Here is a 19557-nt window from a genome sequence, read left to right on the forward strand (position 1 = left end):
CTCCTTCTTTCCTTTCATCTGTATTACTACTGAAGAGCATTATATATGAAGGAAATTAAATTCAAAATTTGCACATAACACATTTTTAGCTAGTAGCAGTTCTGGTTCAATTAATTCCTTTAAATAATAGGAGTAAAATATGGTTATTGTATTATTCTTGTAGCACAGCAGAATTGATATGGTTGAACATTTCATTTTGTAACAATGTTTAATGTCAATAACAATAGTGCTGAAAAATATTTCATGGAGTAGAGAGGGACAATCTGAGGGGAAATGTAAGCAAACATCTAGGTCCTGAAATCAAAGACATGACTTTTATTTATTATTGGGGATAAAGGGAGGGCTCTGTTGCAGAAATCAGAATACAAACATCAAATAAAAAACTGTGTAAGGCATCTCATTTTGATCATTTTAATCACTATTACATAGTAAAAGCTAATATTATTAATGGGACATGAAACAGCAACAATTAAAGGAATATGGAGTTGAAAACAAGTTGAACAATGTCCTTGAGGGTTGGTGAGTCACAACCTATATGAACTGACTTTTTTTGTCATCTGGAAGTTGCGATTAATAACACTATTACCTTAAGGATTCAATGCACTAATATTCGTAATGTGTATTGATAAGGTATAAATTATAACATGAATTTGGGACAATTGTTCCTTCTGAAGTTATTTTAGACTATAATACTTTGGTCATTAGTTCTAGATAATAAAAGTCTTCCCAAGATAGGGTTTAATTATAATAATAAGAAGAATATTCACCAATTTACTTTAATGCCCTTAAGATGAATAATTTGCCCTCTTCATTCCTCTTGAGTACCTATTTATTCATGTGAATAGGCTTTTTAAAAAGATAATAGGAAAGTTCATGACCTTGTGCTAGAACTGCAAATGGTTTCAGTAATTGAAGAGATAGCCAGAAGTACAGGGGTTCTGTAATGAAATTGAAGCCAGGTACTAAAGATTATTGGTTTATAATCACCACTGCATTCTACCTGTGGCTAAAACCCAACTCTACCCCACAAAGATAATAGACTGACAATCTCAAAAATACTTTATTCATTCACAGGTAAACTAAAGCTGAAGATGTTTAATTAATTTGCCTAAAGTCAGAACACTAGCAATTGAAATAAATGTATTTGGTGTGGATTTTGCCTGGGAAGTATGTTACCCATTTCCTTTTCACCACTCTGCACTGACAGAAAAAGCTAGGTATTCCTTCTTTAAAGCTGAGCCTTCAATACTGTCATTTACCTTTACTTAATGGCTAAGACTGAACCCAGCAATTCCTCTTCTAGCCTCCAACCTTAGGTAAAATATCCATTAGAGCTTAATAACACTCTAAGAAGAAAAGGTCATGTAGTTCCTGGATGGCTCCTATGAACCAAATGAGGGCAGCAATGAAAGGTAGATGGGCTTTTCCTTTCTCAGCAATATGAGAATGGAGAATCAGACACTGGGCAGTTCAGCAGCTTGGAATGCCAGGCCTCAGAATGGCCAGCTGGCTGCTCTTTTGTAGCAAGCCTGGGAGCAGGGGCAAGAACATCAATGAATATTGATCCTTTGACCAACCCATAAGCCCAAAGGAGGCATTGCCTCTTTTTCACACAAAAGAAACTAACCATGGGAATATTTACCTTCAAACACAAGGAGCCCATTTGTCCCATGCTGTTGCTTAGAAAATATTTATAACTAGCATCAGCCATTGGCATGTCCAGGGTCAAAGATTCAAGTTGGTGAAGTCATTGGACCATTCTATGGCAAAGCTTGACATGGCTTGCCTGTGCGTATGTATGCATTGTTTCCATTAGTTCATGTACTGGGAAGGCAATGATTATAAGGCCAGAGTTAAGAATGTGACATACAAATTTGCTTTTTCCACAATTCGTCCCCCTATTCCATCACATCCAACTCTGCAGAAGCCACAGAGAGGGCCAGGAAAGAAATTATGGGTGACACAAATAAAACTATCCAGCCTATTAGAAAAAAATTAAGACAATCCCCACCCCTTGAAAAAACAAAGAGGTGTTACCTGGCAGAGGCATAATAATCTCTTTTTTAATACAGGAATTATTGTTAGGCCTTTCCCCTAATGCTAGAGACAGATTTTTTTGTGGTAAGAAGTATCTTTGGAATAGACTAGACTCTTATGCAATTGTTTGAAATAACTGAATTTATGTATGTTAGTAGTGATAGGTTATGTTTTGATGCAACTCAGATCCTTAAACATCTGGCTTCAGACCTATCTGAACTACATATTCATGAGGATATTCAGCAAGGAATTATACAGGCAAATGTATTATTATACTTTTGTGTGTTATCCCCTAACCTCCCCACAACCCCTGCAGGAGGGGCTCCTAGTCTTATTTGATCAAAACTAAAAGAGACACAATACTGTAATCAGTTGGCAGAGACATCTGACATAAGAGGGCACATATCCAATGTTCTGTAGAAATGAAATGTTGAAAGAAAGCAGAAAGAGTAATTAGAAGGTGTGGATTTCCACCTACGAGAAAGAATCAAAAGCAGAAATGAGAGATTTCAGAGACTCAGAGAAATAGAACAAGGTAAAAAGAGACAGAAATTAAGACATGTAGGAAAAGATCAGAGACAGGGGCAAAATCAAAGATAAACAGAAAGGAGACATGGTTTTTATGTCCTCATAGTTTTCTAATTTCTTGATTCCATATTGATGAAATCCTTGATAGCACTGTATCCTTAAAATAATCCCAACCTACTTTCTACCCTGTATAGGCAAAATCATTTAAGTAAATTTCTTTCGTTTGTATCCCAAAGACAAGCGCATGTCCTCAACTGCATAGTGTCTGTCACACAAGTTCCACCCCATTTGGGGGCAGTCTCTTTAATCCTCACAGAAACCTTGTGGAGAAGATACAATCACTCTCCCCACTGCTAGTGTAACCATGAAATAAATCTTGCAAACCAGGACAAGTGAATATGGGCATAAACTAAGAGTGTCCTTAGCAGAGCAGATCATGTGGTCATAAGACCCATTACAGAGGTGAACTGGGGGGTACAGAGGGCCAGGGCTCTTTGGTGATCTCTCTAAGACATGAGGTCAAGAGATCCAGACCAGAGACATGTCCACTTTGTTCCTCTAGTTTCCTGATACCTTGCAGTTTTGCCTTCAGTGAGCACTATTGTTTACCAAATAATACACAAAACACACAGCCAAAAAAGAATAACAACAACAAAGGAAGAGGTCACATTGCTATATAAAGAATTACCAAATGCTAGACCGAAAAGGTGAGACATGCAATTAGGATCCTTAAAGTAAGAAAATAAACAACCTTTGCAAGTTTAAGAGATACTCCTCTGATTAGGCCATTAATCATGAACAGGTCTGTCTCTGTAGCCATTAATTCTGACACCACAGTCGTGGAACAAAGGGAAATAGCAAAGCTGACCTAGGTGTCTTCCTGTGAGCTCAGGTGCTTGACAGCTGACCTGGAAAGGGAGTTGTATTTGTCAGCTTTGTCCTTCTGATTCTGATGGAAGTGTGGTTGAAACCTTTAGAAGGAGAAGTCAACCCTGCCCTGGAGAGAGTGGTGAAATATTCCTATGCCTTTGGACTACATTTTATGATAGTCAGGGAGTCTGTGGTCATCTCTAACATGAAAGGGTAGAGGAGTAAGCAGATTGTACATTCAGCATATAACAAAAGAATTGCATGTTGCCAAAGTTGTCCTGGAAAATCTCCTGAGTCATCCATAATGTGCAATATGTGCAGTTGGAAATATACAGCCCTATACAGTTATACCTATACATGCTAAAGTGAAAGAAACACTGAACCAGATTAAGATGGAGGGACTGAAGTCCCCGTGTTGTAACTCAAATCATTCTGTTTTCAAGGGAACTGTTGGAACCCTGTCAATGTTTTCCCTTGAGAACTGGATGGGTCGCCCACACCCTAGTTGTTACATCCTAGTGAAAAGTGATCCACATTCTGCCTCCACATGGGCAGCCACAGCAGAGTGCAAACACCTTTATAAATAAAAAAGTGTCTGTTAGTATCAGCCATTTTAGAGTCTGTGCCTACATAATTTAGTATGCATCAGGTTAAATTCACCCTAATGCTCTTGGTGATGCAGATGTCTTTTTCACTCTTGATCAGCACTGGGATTATAATGAGCTTCCACTGTATTAACTCCAACCAAAAGAAACCATAAAACAAGCCCCTCCCTGAAGGAGGCATGGGCTCATGGCGGGGTGGTCATTGGTCGACCTGCCGTGTAATGTGCCAGTGCAAATGTTCATTAAGCAGAGCGCTGGCCATTCGCAAGGATGGATTTCAGGGAGACTGAAATGAAGCTGGAAATGTGAATGTTCACTCATGTTGACACCTGGACTTTGTCTGCTGCCTGCCCCCAGTGATCAATCCCAAGCTTCCTCTTTTAGGGATGAATTCCTCCAAGCCAAAGACTCAGAAATATGATCAGAACAACATAGGTCTAGGAAATGTGAGTCCTGGAAAAGGCCTTGTACTGAACTGCATCACTTTACAAAGAAGAAAACTGATGCCCAATGTAAACTTATGGCCTGTTGAAGAGAAAATTACACAAAAGAAAAAAATATGTCTCTAATACTAATATTCCTTTCACATCTATTACAGATATGCTTGTCACTGTGTTCATTTTATTTAAACACTTTTCTAAATTCAAGGAGAACTGAATCCTCACAAGGAAATTACTCCTTTCTCACTTGAACCCATTGAAGTGTCCTTTAATGTGCTTTTACTCTTTTAAATGTTTCCTTAACATGTCCACGACATTATTCTCATGTGCTTTGTTCAGGTGAAAAATCCAAAGAAGAGCAAAAGTTGTTAAATGTCTGATAAAGACCTTCACACTTTTACACCACTCATGTGTCTCATTTTAACACTGTACAGGGTGGATGGAATAGAGTTAATAATTAGTGAGAATCTACTCTTGGGGTGAAGATATTGTATAGAGGTCTATGATATATCCTGTAGCTTGCATCACTTCTGTGATAAAGGCATCATTTTGACCATTTTACAAGAGAGACAACTGAGTCCCAGGCAGTTAAAGAACATCTTTCCAGATTATTAATTAAATGATTGGCAAGAATTTAAATCCAGTTCTACCTACTTCTAAAGTGCACACTCTTTCAGCTCCTACACATCCTCCCTAAGGCACGACTTTAAGAACTAATGCAGTAGTAATCTATCTACTGCAGTGCTGATTTTTGAGTCAGAAGTAGGTATAATCTGGTGTTTTATAAGTGAGACAAAGTTGGATTTATCTCACAATATAAACAATATAAAAAAGGGAGGAACATATTTTTGTATAATTTTGTATGCTTTTAAATGATTTTCAGATAAACTTTATAACAGCTCATAAGGAAAATAGGACAGATTTTTATATCCCATTTTTACAGATGGGAAAACAAGAGGTCAAATGAAGTGCTCATGATTCCACGGTGAGTTAGCGAAGGGCCCAGGTTGACCCCCTCTAAGTCTAGATCCCTTCCTACTACATCATGCTGCTCGGATATATAAACAGAAGGACCTCATTTTATTCTGACATTACTGACATTAGGTACTTTTTTTTCCCCTCAGAGAAGCTAAATTATCCTTCACTCAAGACAGAAAAGTGCAAGGGCAAATGTTTCTTCCACCACCACGCTTAGGAGCTGTTGACACATCCTGGATTTAGCTCTTTTTGAACCCTCTCCTGGTCTCAATCCCTCCTCCCCAGAGAAACTGCAGGAACATTTCACTGGAAAATCTCCCCACAGAGGAAAGGACAACCCTGGCAGGGGTTCTGATGGGCCTCATGCTGTCGCTGGTTCAGGATGCTTGGCTGCCTCCAGCTGCACTGTAGGGACAAACTGCAGAGGGAGAGGTTCCCACTGTGCCCCATTTGAGCACTGATCTGTCTACTGCCTGCAAGCTTAACCTCCAAATGGACTCTGGGCCTTGCCAGTCCGAAGGACAAATATATTATCCTTTAAATAAATAAGCTAACATTTATAAGGAGCTTTACAAAGTTCTGCCACGTGTATCATCTAATTAAATCCTGAATCCAACCCCATGAATATCTGCATTTTTTTCACATGGGGAAGCTGCTTAGTGATGAAATTACTTTGTTGACTTAATTTGTGTCATTTGGCCTCCAAAATCCCATGCCATTTTCCCCCGCATATTTTGTTTACTTAATGACCTTAGACAATCATCTAAATCCTGGTGGTTGAAACGTCCCCAAGACATCATTCAAAGACCTTATCTCTCACTATATCAGATATCCAGGCGGCAAGCAGCTCTTGAATTCTACATGAGATCCCTTCTCAGACACATGTCACCTTTCCATTATCTGAAACGGAGGGGCTAGGCTTTGAGCTGATGCTCAATGAACCACATATGTGTTTCTGACTTGAATTTGCAATCTCAGTCTTCTCTCTTTATTTGGGATGATAATCCATGACTTCACGGCCAAAGCCCAAAATTGTCCTGATTTATGTTCATCTATCTCATCCTAGAAGCTTTAGGTTCTTAAGAAGTTTTTGAATTTGTTGTTGCAGAGAAAAAAATCTAAGTGTAGGAAGTAGGATGGAAGGGAAACAGCAGAGCAATCTATTTGGGCTTTTTGCTATACTCTCTAAACACAGCTGGCTCTTCCATGTCCCTTAACACAGCCTGTTTGTATGAGTCTGGGACATCACACTATAATATCTCCTCAAAAGAATTTCTCTGTACTGTTTTCTGCCTTGACCCACTACTTTTTGATTATCTCTACGACTCTACAATGTTGGACTCCATTTCCTGGACCTCTATAGTTGCACCTAGTCCTTCACTTAGTTAAAAAGTCAAACTTTTCTTTCTGGCTTAGTGAATTTATTCCTCATTTCTCAATTCTATCACCATAACCCAACGTAGAGAGTCATTAACCGTCAGATTTGTTTTCATCTCTAAAAGTAGGAAATTTGACTACATTATCTAAAGAAGGAAAGGAAAAGGGAAGGGAGCAGTACACACAACATGAATGATCAGAATTTCAGAGGTAGAAGGGAATTTAGTGGAAATAAAATCTATTGTTTTTGGTTTTACCAATGGAGAAACCATTATGTCAGTAGAATTTATTAGACAAAAGTATATGTACAGATAATTGTAGATATGCATATAATTTCACTGAAGCTTATCATAAACTTAGGTTAAGGACTCTGCAACTGGTGCTCAGGTCAAGACTCAATGCAATTGGTGTTTGGGTCACATATTAGGTACTTAATTTAGAACACATGTCTAAGTGTCACATAATTATCTTTCGTTATCTTTAGTTGCTTCATGTGTATTAAGCAAGTGTATTTAACTATAGAACTTGCTGAATATGTTTACATCAAACCTGTAGAAAAAAATAGGACAAGAAAAAGGTAAAAACAGCTAAGACAAATGAAACAATGAAATTTGTGATACAGCCGTCATTTTACATCAAATGTATTCATTTCCATGAGGGTAATAAAGCTTTATACCCTCATGTTGATTTTACCAATTAACAAACAATAATTATTTATCACATGGAATGTTCTAATTTTTAGTGTAGATAATATGATTCCCATATTGAGTGTTTAGATAATTTGAGTTCAACTTCTTATCTGAAGTAAGTTTAGCTTCCTATTCAGAGATATTTGAATTTGAAAGGTTATAAGGTTAGGTATTTATACTAAATGGAGGAAGTGAAAACTAGAGAACAAAATAGGTGCCTCTCTGCTTGGGTGATAAATGATTGTGCATCTAAAATGTTATTACAGTTCTACTGAATCATGAAACATAGCTTATATAATTAATCATTAAAACATACTGAATCTGCTGAAGAGAGATAAAGAAAAAAATGAACTCAGCAGTATTTCAAAGCCTAATAAAGAGGTGTTTAAAATGTTGATTTAATCTTTATTATTTTCAAGTAGCTTTATATTTTTATTTAAAACCAGTTTTATTATACTTCATTTAAAAATATATAACTACATAAGTAATCCATTAGGGTAGTCAGACTTCCACCAAAAACTACCAAAAAAAAAAAAAAAAACCTGGAGGGCAGATAAATGAAAATATACCAAATGTCAGAAAGCTCTCAGACACATAAATGCATTTTTCTTAACATGTTCAATAAGAAAGGCAAACAGAAGCTGAATCCTCAGCTATTATTAGTGAAGGAGAAGTTGTCCAAGTGATTCATGAGGCAGAGTTTAAAACTTTGTATAATTGCTGGTGCAACAAAATTCAGCTATAAAAATTCACAGGTGCCTTAGGTCTCCCTAGAGTAATGAACTCAATGTAGTCATCACACAAGGAACATTTCCCAAGATCTTTCAGCTAAAGACAAGTAAGACTTTAAGTGTTCCAGAGTCCAATTCCAATCTAGATAATTCAAACTCAGAAAGACTCATGTCGATTCCAGACTGGGATGTAAAGGAGTATGCATTCCCAACCATAACACCATTCCACTAAATGGTCTGCAGAAAATATAGATCCAGAACTGGAAGAAATATATGCTATATTTAGTCAAACTCATTCTGTTTCCGATCAGAAATATCCAACCAAAAACGGCTTAAAAAAGAAACAAAACAGCTGGGCGTGGCAACTCACGCCTCAAATACCAGCACTTTGGGAGGCTGAGGCGGGCTGATCATGAGGTCAGGAGATCGAGACCATCCTGGCTAACACAGTGAAACCCCGTCTCTACTAAAAAAACAAAAAATTAGCTGGGGGTGGTGGCGGGCGCCTGTAGTCCCAGCTACTCGGGAGGCTGAGGCAGGAGAATGGCGTGAACCCGGGAGGCGGAGCTTGCAGTGAGCCCAGATCGCGCCACTGCACTCCAGCCTGGGCAAAAGCGCAAGATTCCATCTCAAAAAAAAAAAAAAAAAAAAAAAAAAAAACTAAAGGGAATTTATTTAATTCCCTCCAATAAACTAGGAAGTAAAAGGAATCTGGAAGTAGATCTTCAGTTGCACCTGAACTCAAATACTGAAACAATATCAAGGGGGATTTATCCCACTCTTCATTATTCAGTTACGATACACATCTTCATCAACAACAGCAACATTATTAACTATATCCTGGAATATAATGAAGGAAAAATACCAATTGATTAATCTTTATAGTATAGTCTCACCCTCAGATTCTAAGAGAGCCTAAGCACATGGAGTATTTAATATTCATAATATTTATCATCAAATATTTTGTATTAATATTTTATTATTGTTGATGCTGGAAAATTTTCTCAGTTTTCATAGTGTGCCCTTAATACTATGCTAGAGATTAAGGTTGAAGTTGGCACAAGAATACTTGGGAGGTTCCATGAGATTGAGAGCGGCATAATCCTCAGTCAAATCCTTTCTCATCAGCCATGTGAACTTAGCTAATTAATTTATCTTTTCTGAGCCTCAATTTCTCCATTTGAAAATAAGGATAATAATGTCACCATCTACTCCAAAAGGTTATTGCAGCTAATGAAGGATACGATATATGTACACTGCTTAGCACAGTGCCTGGAACATAGAACTAACTCTAATTCCAAGAATTTCACTAACTGTAACCCAAACCCAGCAATTTTTATTGATTCAGAAATATTTATTGATTGCCTACTAAGGATCAGGTACAATGGTAAATATCAGGAATTTAAAATGTGGGCGATACACATTCTCTATTTTCCAAGCATTTAAACCTAGTCAGATGAAAGGAGAAAAAATATCAGGACCCCAATGGGGATATGCTCTAAGCCTTTAATGCTATACTGAGAATTGACCCTCTTTTCCCTGATCAGGAAACTGTAAGAAAAACTCCATCTCTCTGAGGAAGAGCTGTCTCTCAGGATGCAGCCTGGTCTCATGTAAGATAACTAGTTGGCAAACCACCTCACTAGTCAATCAGGCATACCCTAACATGTATGAATGCTAATGTTAGAACACAGCATAATAAAGTCACGGTGCCAATCTCATTCGACAATAGGTATTCAGAATCTGATAAAATATTGAACTGACCCTTTCCTCTATATATAATCTGATTGCATATATTCATTGAGGTCAATTATTTACTCACTTACAAGAAAAAGTCAGCAAAATTCTGTGATGGACCCAGAAAAAGAGTATCTGCATCAAGTGTGACCAACTTTAGTTGCATTTGTTTCTCCCTAACACAGATTCCTGCAGTCTGGCAATCACTTCAGGTCCTGAGGGTATTTTAAATGTTACTGTCACTTAAGTCAAAGTATTCAGTCAGCCTCTTTGAATATGGACTAATGGAAATTGTATTTGAATCCACAACTCATGGATTGAAAGAGGTGCTGAGGGAATGAGATTCTAAATATAAATCCGATAACCTTGGATACAGCTGAAGCATCACTCAGCCCCTTAACTTGATGTGTTCTGCCAATCACAAGGGACAGTGGAGAGAAGCGTTGAATAGTAGAGAATTGAAAGGGATTTTCTCAATTTACAATGTATTCATTGACTTTACTTGGATATACATAAGAGATGTATGAATACATACGTAAGAGAATATGAGTCATGTATACTGTTCCCACCATTGTATGTCTGGGACCTGATACAGTCTCTAGTATATCATTGATGCCCAATAATGAACTCCAAGTACAGATTGCGACACTCCACAGATGAGGTATTTCTCTTGCAGAAGGGTCTTCTGAAAACAGATGTTTACTCTGTCACTTGCTTCTCTCTTCACACTCTTGGCAGCCAAACTCATACAAAGTGCTCTTCAATGCCACCATCCTACCAATCCTCTACTAAACTAATATCTCAGTGGCAAAGTTGGACATCCTTCAGCAAAAACACTACTCTGGGGATGAATATATATGGCTCTGTTAAAAAAGAGGGTATATTCATTTGAAGAAGAGATCAATCAAAAACACCTTTCTTTCTTCATTCATACATTCATTCCTTCATATTTGGGTCTTAAATATGTGATTTGTCACAAAGCATTTTGGAGTCCTACAGTCCTAAATCCTAGCTCAGCTACCTAGAGTATTCGTCCATTTTCATACTGCTATGAAGAAATACCCAAGACTAGATGACTTATAAAGAAAAAGAGTTCAATGGACTCATAGTTCCACACGGCTGGGGAGGACTCACAAACCTGGTGGAAGGCGAAGGTGGAGCAAGGGCACATTTTGCATGATGGCAAGCAAGAGAGTGTGTGAGGGGAACTGCCCTTTATAAAACAATCAGATCTCATGAGACTTATACACTATCATGAGAACAGCATGGGAAAAACCCACCCCCATGATTCAATGACCTCCCACTGGGTCCCTCCCATGACACATGGGGATTATGGGAGCTGCAATTCAAGATGAGATTTGAGTAAGGACACAGCCAAACCATATCACCTAGTAATTGTGCAAACTTACACTAGTAAATTTTTCTCTCTGGGTCCCAGTTTCCTGTAAATTGGGTTTACAGTAATATCTCTCTTACAGAATTTTAACAGGAAATTTATTTGAGAGACCATGAGTTATGATCTTTCACATTCAGTATGAATCAATACATCAATTAAAGGAAAACAAATGGTAGTCCCATTCTATTTATTTCATTCTTCACTTATGAGTAAAAGTTGTATTAAACTATCCAGTCTTTAGGGCACATACCCAGTGAGGTACATAAGACAGCTGGTCTGGAACAGGAGTCCATGTGCTCTGTGTTGATAAAGATAGGTTTTATCCATGAGAAAGAATCTATCTGGGAAGTTCTATAGTACAAATGCCAGACTCATTATCCATAACACTGAGCCAAAGAACCCTGAACACTCAATACTAAGTGCCACCTTGGCTTCAGAAGCAGAGGAAGTGGTTTGCTTCCATAGTACATCCATGGCACACTTGGTCACGTGCCAAGTGTTCTCTTTAATGTCCCCAAAACTCTAAAGATTCTGAACATGAAAACATGTATCATACTGCCAAAATCACTAATGACCAAAAGCAAATAAGAGGAAAATGAGAGCACTAAAGCAACCTGACCCAATTTTGGATCCTGCCCACATGTTAAAGAAGTGCCAAGTGATTTCCACACGTCACACCTGCTTAGTTAGCAATAATAAAAGCTTTCAGAAGATCAGAGGGAAATTAAATAGTTACAGATAAATGATCTAACAATTTTATCTCAGCCAGAGAAGGGACAGGATGCAATTTAATAACATGATCACAAGTGGAATTGCAGTTTAATGACCTTGCACTTTATAATTTAATGGGACACACATAGTACCACACTGAAAGTAAATGGATTGTCAAATGCAAATGCATATACTGGCATTTTATAAATAAATTATTACGGCACTAATTGCAATTAAATTGCCATGGTTTAATATGGCCTAGTAATTAAGTCATAAGTGGCTTGCTGCCTGGTTCTTGCCTGAACCTGGCAACAAAGAAAACTATTTGACTCAGCTAAAGTAGTTCTGAATATACCCTCAAACTTTTGTAGGGCAATGGAGGTCCAAAGGAATCCCAGCTCTACACTTAAGGGTTATTTCTCCTCCCCCTTGCCTTTTTAAATGAATATTTACAAAGAAAAACAATGCCAAAGTAAATTGGGTTAACTTGAACTCTTCTTGTGTGTCAAGAAATACTGCCAATTCTGACTCAGTCTTCTCCAAAAAATTTTTTTTCCCTGAAAGCTTAGGGCACCTCTCCGGTTAGCTAGTTTCACCACCCATATATTCCTCGGTACTGAAAGGAGAATGCCTTTGTCAGAAATGCCACTACAGTTGTGAGCGTTGGTTATACATAAAACTTCCATGGGATCCCTTTGGGTCATCTGTCCCTGTCTGTGCTCCCATGGCTCCTGTGTTTAACCATGTCAAAGTATTGTTTTCTCCACATTTCAATCATTTATTCCTGGATATATGTATCCATTTACCTGAGGGCAGAACTATGACCCTTTGTATTATTTCCAGATCCTAAAATATGCTATGTATTCAAATCTATTGGTTGTTAGTGAAGGAAAAAAAAGAAAGTAAAGCTAATTCACAACTCATCATAATCACTAAAAGCCCATATGTAATAATTAATTAAATCAATTCATACTCATTTCAGTGTCTGCCAACTGCAAGGGTTTTTGAAGATATAAACAGAGATACATGATAATCCCTGTCTTCAAATGAAGTACAGTCCACTTACCAAAAAGAATACCCATATAAAGATAAAATCACTTTTTGCCAGACACTGCTTTGAAAACAATATGAGCTCTTCAATCCTCACAATGATGCTATTATTGTACTATTAGTATCCCTACTTCATATATGAGAAAATGCACACCAAGTTTAAGAAACTTTCCCAAGGCCTCTCTACTGGTAAATGAAACAGCCAGGCTTGTGTCCCAGGCTAGCTGGCTCCTGAGCCTACATGTTTAATTACTGCAAGATTTAACTACAAGAATACTCTATTTAAAGTATTAAATAGAGTATTTAAAGGAAGTGAAGGTCAATGATCTTTAATGCATTGAGGCAACTAAAGACAGGGTCAAAGCAGAAGTAGTGTCTCCAAGGGTGGGCAGGGTCAGATGGAGAAAGGAGTTGATGAGTAAGGAAAGTCAGAATGGAGTCAAAGGTGAACATGGTATGGTCAGAGCAAAGGGCTCAGGTGGACCACAAGGAAAGATAAAGCTATAGTAAAATTGTGGAGGACTTCACCACCCATGCTAAAGAAACCTTCAGATGTTGTTGACATCTGATCTTTGCAGCCAGAAAATTCTGGTCACTTGGCCCATCTTTAAGCTAAATTTCTTGACTGAATGCCCACTGAAGCAATAGCATTTTCTTCTCCCCAACTTTGTCATGCGGTCACTCAAATAAGGTTAAAGCAGCAGGTAGATAAACTCTGCCCTCCCTTTTCATGCCTTGTCACACACAGTAAGTCTAAAAAGGGTGAGGACAGGTACATTCCATCAAAAAAGGGCAGAACATAGAAGCTGCTTCTTTCTTCCTTTGCAGACACTTCCCTGGGAGAGTTTCTGCACTTGCTAGTGCTTTATATGTCAGTGCTGACTTCTTTGACTGAGGCCACAGGTTTTGGATAAACCAGGAAGTAAAATGCTTGGATACTCATTTCATATTGTCAGTGTCCTCCCAAATCTACTTTGGCACATGATAAATATTAGGAACAAAAGCTGTTTCATGCATCACTATTTTAACTGGCAAGGTATTTTATTAAACTAGGGTAATGAGTAATGGGGATGTTTTTGAACTTCATCAGTTATAAATGATCTCTTGTGTAAAAGAACACACAATAGGCATCTCTTACCCGGTATCAGTTAGGTCAATGTCTCCATAAGGACTGGATTTCTGGGTTACTCTATGACCAAATTCCATCTTGCTGATCCAAGCTCCAATCTACTAAAAACCACAAATTCTTGTGCTTAGTCTTGACTCATTGAGGAGAGCAGATTCCCACAAGGTAGACCCTGACCTTCAGGAATCCCCTGGGAAAATTTTAAACCCTTGAGACCAATTTCTCTGGAAAAATCACAAGCAGAAAAAGAGACCTGCAGAGCTGTCTGAAAGATGGTGGCTAACTAGGAGTCCTAAATATATGAAAAGTCTAAGCATTTCAAATCAATACTATTATCAACTAGGCTAATGATTGATGGGCTAAATGTGTAGGCTAATGATAACAGCAAAAGCATTAGAACTCCAATTTTGGTGTTCTACTATAGGCTAGGCACAGTGTTAGGTACTGCATCCCACTTCTCATTACAACCTTAGGAGGTGATCATTATTACATTTTCACATTTCTAGATAGGGAAACCAAGCCTCCAAATGATAAAATAATTTGCCCATATGGCAGGCAATAGAATTTGCCAGAGTTAATACAATATGTCTCTAAATTCTGTGGTCTTAAGCACCACCCTGTAGCTAGTTCACCAATCTACCAACATTCATCAATGTAGAACAGGGGTACATCTTCCAGATGACCCAGTATTTTTATTGAAGGACCTCTCCATCATGTACAGATTTGGAAATAACTAAATTCATCTGCCCAACTATTTACCATAGGCCCAAGATTGCATTGATTTAGCCTTGCTGGATTTTCTTTAAATTAAATTATTTTGTGTTTGAAGAGAGTTCACAGAAGAGTAGGGATTGACTGTTGCAATCATCAGCAGAATTAAAAAGAATTTTTGGATTATCCTCAGGTATCTGTTGGATCCTAAGTAAAATATATAAGAGAAAACAGCGTATGAACGGGGAACAGTCTATGCTCACTGTATAAATGAGGTCCTAAAACAAAGCAACCTAGTTTATTTGTTCTGTTGTTTTTCTGAAAATAACTGTCTTCAGAAAAATGGTCTTATTTGATAAAAGGGGCTAATTTTTTGCTTATTCATTTATGTAGGTAGGTATGCATATGTATACATACGTGTATATATATGTATGTGTGTATGTATATATATATATTTTTCCCCTATGTCCCAGACATTTTCAGTGACCAAGAATAACAGCTATTTTCCTCTTTCTCTTTTTCTTCCTCCTCCCCATTGTCATATACATTTGATACTTTAAGGGGAATTTGATCTTTATTAGCTTCTTTTTTCCTCTCAGCAACCATGTAGAAAAGGTAGGCTGATTATGACCAAAAGGTCTTAATGTTTCCTTCAGCTTGATGAGACTTTCAACAGGTCTCCTCCTAACTATAGGCCTCTGACCTACATTTTCTTTGAGCATTCACTTTAGAAAACTTGGTATTGTTAATTCTTTCTCTGCCACTTTGAGTTGGAAATCTTCTCCCACCTCTTGCTGGTTTTACAACCCAGGAATATCTTTCTCAAGGAACTGAAAGCCATCCTTTTGAAATGTAATCATTAAGGACGATAGTTCCCCTAGATCGCATCTCTATGGAAGGGTAGGGGGTTAACTTTGATAAGTGCCAATTAGAAAATACAGATGGCCTGATCTTATTGAATAATCTACCCACTAACATCCTTCAGTATTCTTCGCCTAGCTCACCCCAGCACTTAAAAACCCTTCTGCCCTTGTTTCATCAGAATTGACTTCAATATCTCTCCCCTGTTGCAATAGTTTTGAATGAAGTTTCCTTTGCCTATTTAATTCTGTTCAACAAAATTTTTCTTTGGCAGTTATTGTCACTACTGTTCTGCAGATGTGGAAACAGATTCTAAGAAAGTCAAGAATTTGCCCAAGGACACAGAACTGGCAATTAACAGAGACAGAGCCAGAATTTGTTTGTTTTGCTCCCACTGCTCTTTCTGCAGTAGCAATGGGGCAAATGGAGAAAAAGAGACCTCAGAAGTCAGATGTTTCAGACATTTAAAAGCTGGGGATCAAACTGCTTTTGCAAAAATTATAACTAGGAAATTACGACAGTGAAAGAGATCTGACCTAACCTACTCCATCTTGCTTCTAACCTCCAAACTGTCCTTGTTCATTTTGGGGCATCAGCCATATTAGCTTTGGGAGGAACTTGATTTATAATTTAACTTTGAAACAAAGACAATAACAGCATTTTCCCAAAACAAACCCCCTTCTTGCCTGGGACTAGATTGCCTTTTCAGGACTAAAAACTTAGTCATAAGATGAGAAATTGTGGTTTAGGAGTCACTGTTGAAAAACCTGAGATCAACACTTAAGATATTTTGCAGACCCTGCATTCCAATGTACCACCTAGATGGATAAACTGGCTCATCTGGTCTTGTGGCCCCGACCCAGGGACTAACAGCACAACAGGACAGCTTTAACTCCCTATGATTTCATTTTTGACCTGACCAGTCAGCACACCCCCCCTTTCTCAACCCCTACTCACCAAATTACTCTTCAAAAAGCCATCCTCAAATTTTCAGGGAGACTGATTTGAGTAATAATAAAACTCAGTCTCGGGTACAGTTGGCTCTATATGAACTAAACTCCTTCTCAATTGCAATTTCCCTGTCTTGATAAATCAGCTCGGTCTAGGCAGTAGGCAAAGAGAACCTGTTGGGCAGTAACAGGAGTGTTGATCCTTTCTGTCTGGGTTATCTCCTGCTTATACCCACATCTTGTGAATGAGAATCAAAGGAGTGTGTGTGTGTGTGTGTGTGTGTGTGTGCGCGTGTCTGTGTGCGCGCACACCTGTTTAGATGCACAAACAATATGTCTTTTGTTTTGTTTTGCTTAAGTGGGGGTGGAGAAAGTGAGGTAATCCTAAAGTCTTCTTCTAAGATGTAGGTAATGGCTAAATGTGGAATACGAACAGACCAAGTTTGCTTATGTGGAACATGGACTAAAGCCCTTCTTACATCCCCTTTTTACCTATTTCAGTGACTAGAGAACAGAGTGCTCTGAATGTTTTGCAGGTCGTCTTGTTGGGAAGGTGAAGAAGCTGAGCAGAGGTGATGAAGGGTGCTTTATGGTCTTTATTAGCCAATAATGACAATATTGTTTTAAAGCCTGCCTATAACAAAGGCAGTTTCATAGCACAGGTTTTGTGTGTGGGATATGCAACAATTCATTTCTTACCATATAGTGATCCATTAACAAGTGGAGGAAGGAAAGAATACAGCAATGTTTTTAGGGACAATTTTAGAATTACATTAAGCAAATTGATCACAGGAACAGACCAATGAACCATATAATCACATGCCTTGACTCTAATCATTCTAATTACTTCAGAAAGAACTGTTTAAGATAATGATAGTGACTCATGATTGCCAGGTAGTATCCATCTTTGGGGTATAAAATTCAGAATAACAAGTTTCAATATTCTTATTCTCAGAATGCTAATCTGAAATTAAGTAGAAGAAATTGCTGTTATTTTAACTCGACTTGGACAGTGCTGATAGCTGAAGCATGGTCTAGATGAACAATAAGAATTTGAGAGTTTAATTGGTATTTGCAACTTGGTCTGTATTATGAGGACACCAGAGGTATATTTTAAGGTTTCTCCCCATTAAAACTTATGTTTTGAATGAAGACACACATCTTAGACATAGCTTCATCATGCACACACAGAAAACTCAATCAGTGGTAGATGTTAATAGTTCATTGTTTTGAGTATATGCCCCAAAATTAATCACACCTAGGTTTATATTCCATCTTGGTCACTGTGTTTTCTTTGGTAAAATATTCAATCTCTCTGAAATTTTATCTCCTTTTCTATAGAAAAAAGATAATTATATTAGCTACCATATACAGTTTTGTGACAGTCCGATAATGAAAAGGCATAAGACAGTGTCTAAGACATAGTGAATGATCAATAAACGTTATCTATCACAGTTATTACTAATAAATAAAGATAAGATAAAAGGCAAGGCAGGGAATGCCTAGGTGAAGCACAGGGTGTGTATTGGAAGCAGCATCTTAAGGAAGTATTATGCCAGAGTCAAGAGGATGACCTGAAATTTGTCAATCTAGACAGGGCTAGTCAAGAGCATACCTTCTCTTGAAGTCCAAGGTGTGTGTAAGAAAGGAAAACAGATGAAAGGAGGGATTTAAAGCAAATGGTGAAAATTAGACCTGGGAGTTAATTCTTAGCTGGCATGCATGTAACTCAGGTGAGTTTTTACAGACTAGGTTGATGCAAAAGCACTTGTGGTTTTTGTCATTCCTTTTATGGCAAAAAATACAATTACTTTTTCAGCAAACTAATAATTCTTCCAGTCATTCGGCATCAGTGATGGTAGTAGAATGGACACCACAAAATATAAAGAGCCAATTATTATTATTATTATTTTTTAGAATTCTAACAACCACTTCATCCTCTTCCTCTTACTGCTGGGCTCATTTATTTTTATCATAACAACCTCTTCCTTGGAAAAAGACTATGACTACTAGGCCCCTGACTGTACTTCAGGTCTATTATTGCCCCTTACCAAGTAGTTGACTATCTGAGGACAAGCACAATTTGGTGCCAGAGTAGTTGTGACACATTTGAGATTAACTTTGATACCCATTATTTATGTACCTAACGGGGGCTCCTCCCACTCACAGCTCCTACAGAGTGATTATTTTAACATATAACTCAGTCAGTTCACTCTGAATACCTTAATTGGCTTAGAGATGGACATGTAACTACGAGTGGACCATCCAAAAATTGTCTTGGAAAGAAAAGCAATGGCAAAGAGACTCATAGTTTGGGAATATGAACTGGAAGACACAGATGGCAATTTCAGATGTTGGGGTTTCAAAGTCATGTAATCTTGAAGCTGAGGCTGCTGTTTCCAGCCTAGATGCACATACAATTATAAATGAGTAGAATCTAGGAAAAAGGGAATGAAGAGAGACAGAGAAGAAAGTACATTTGCAGAGAGTTAACCCAGAGAAGACAGGGAAAGGTGAAATGAAGAGAGTACTATGGAGCAGAACTGCCTTTCTAGATATTTGATTCTTAATCTTCCTAAGGCCTAGTGTCGAGCTGTTTTCAGAGTGTCCTGCAAACTCTCTGTGGCTGTACAATGATCCCTCCAACTGCCCCTTTTATTTGAGCTTGTTTGTCTTTCTTACCATAAATATGGACCTAACTAGGAGAGAAACCTCATGTTCACTCTGCAAGCAAAGAGCTGGAAGAACCAACTGAACACA

General features: G+C 37.9%; 1 long non-coding RNA gene across 1 annotated transcript in view, besides 1 other annotated feature; it reads left to right on the plus strand.

Moving 5' to 3' along the window:
- LINC02661 (long intergenic non-protein coding RNA 2661) overlaps positions 1-19557 on the plus strand; it is a 132148-nt gene that overhangs the window by 32977 nt on the left and 79614 nt on the right. The window lies entirely within an intron of this gene.
- Positions 13607-13776: an enhancer, noted in NCBI's record as "experimental_9758 CRE fragment used in MPRA reporter constructs". NCBI's record gives its function as "activates a minimal promoter by MPRAs in K562 erythroleukemia cells, with activity observed for the non-introgressed 10:110514965 variant allele {active_cell/tissue: K562}" and the evidence as "EXISTENCE:reporter gene assay evidence [ECO:0000049][PMID:34662402]".

The sequence above is a fragment of the Homo sapiens genome, chromosome 10 (assembly GCF_000001405.40).
Source record: "Homo sapiens chromosome 10, GRCh38.p14 Primary Assembly".
NCBI lineage: Eukaryota > Metazoa > Chordata > Mammalia > Primates > Hominidae > Homo > Homo sapiens.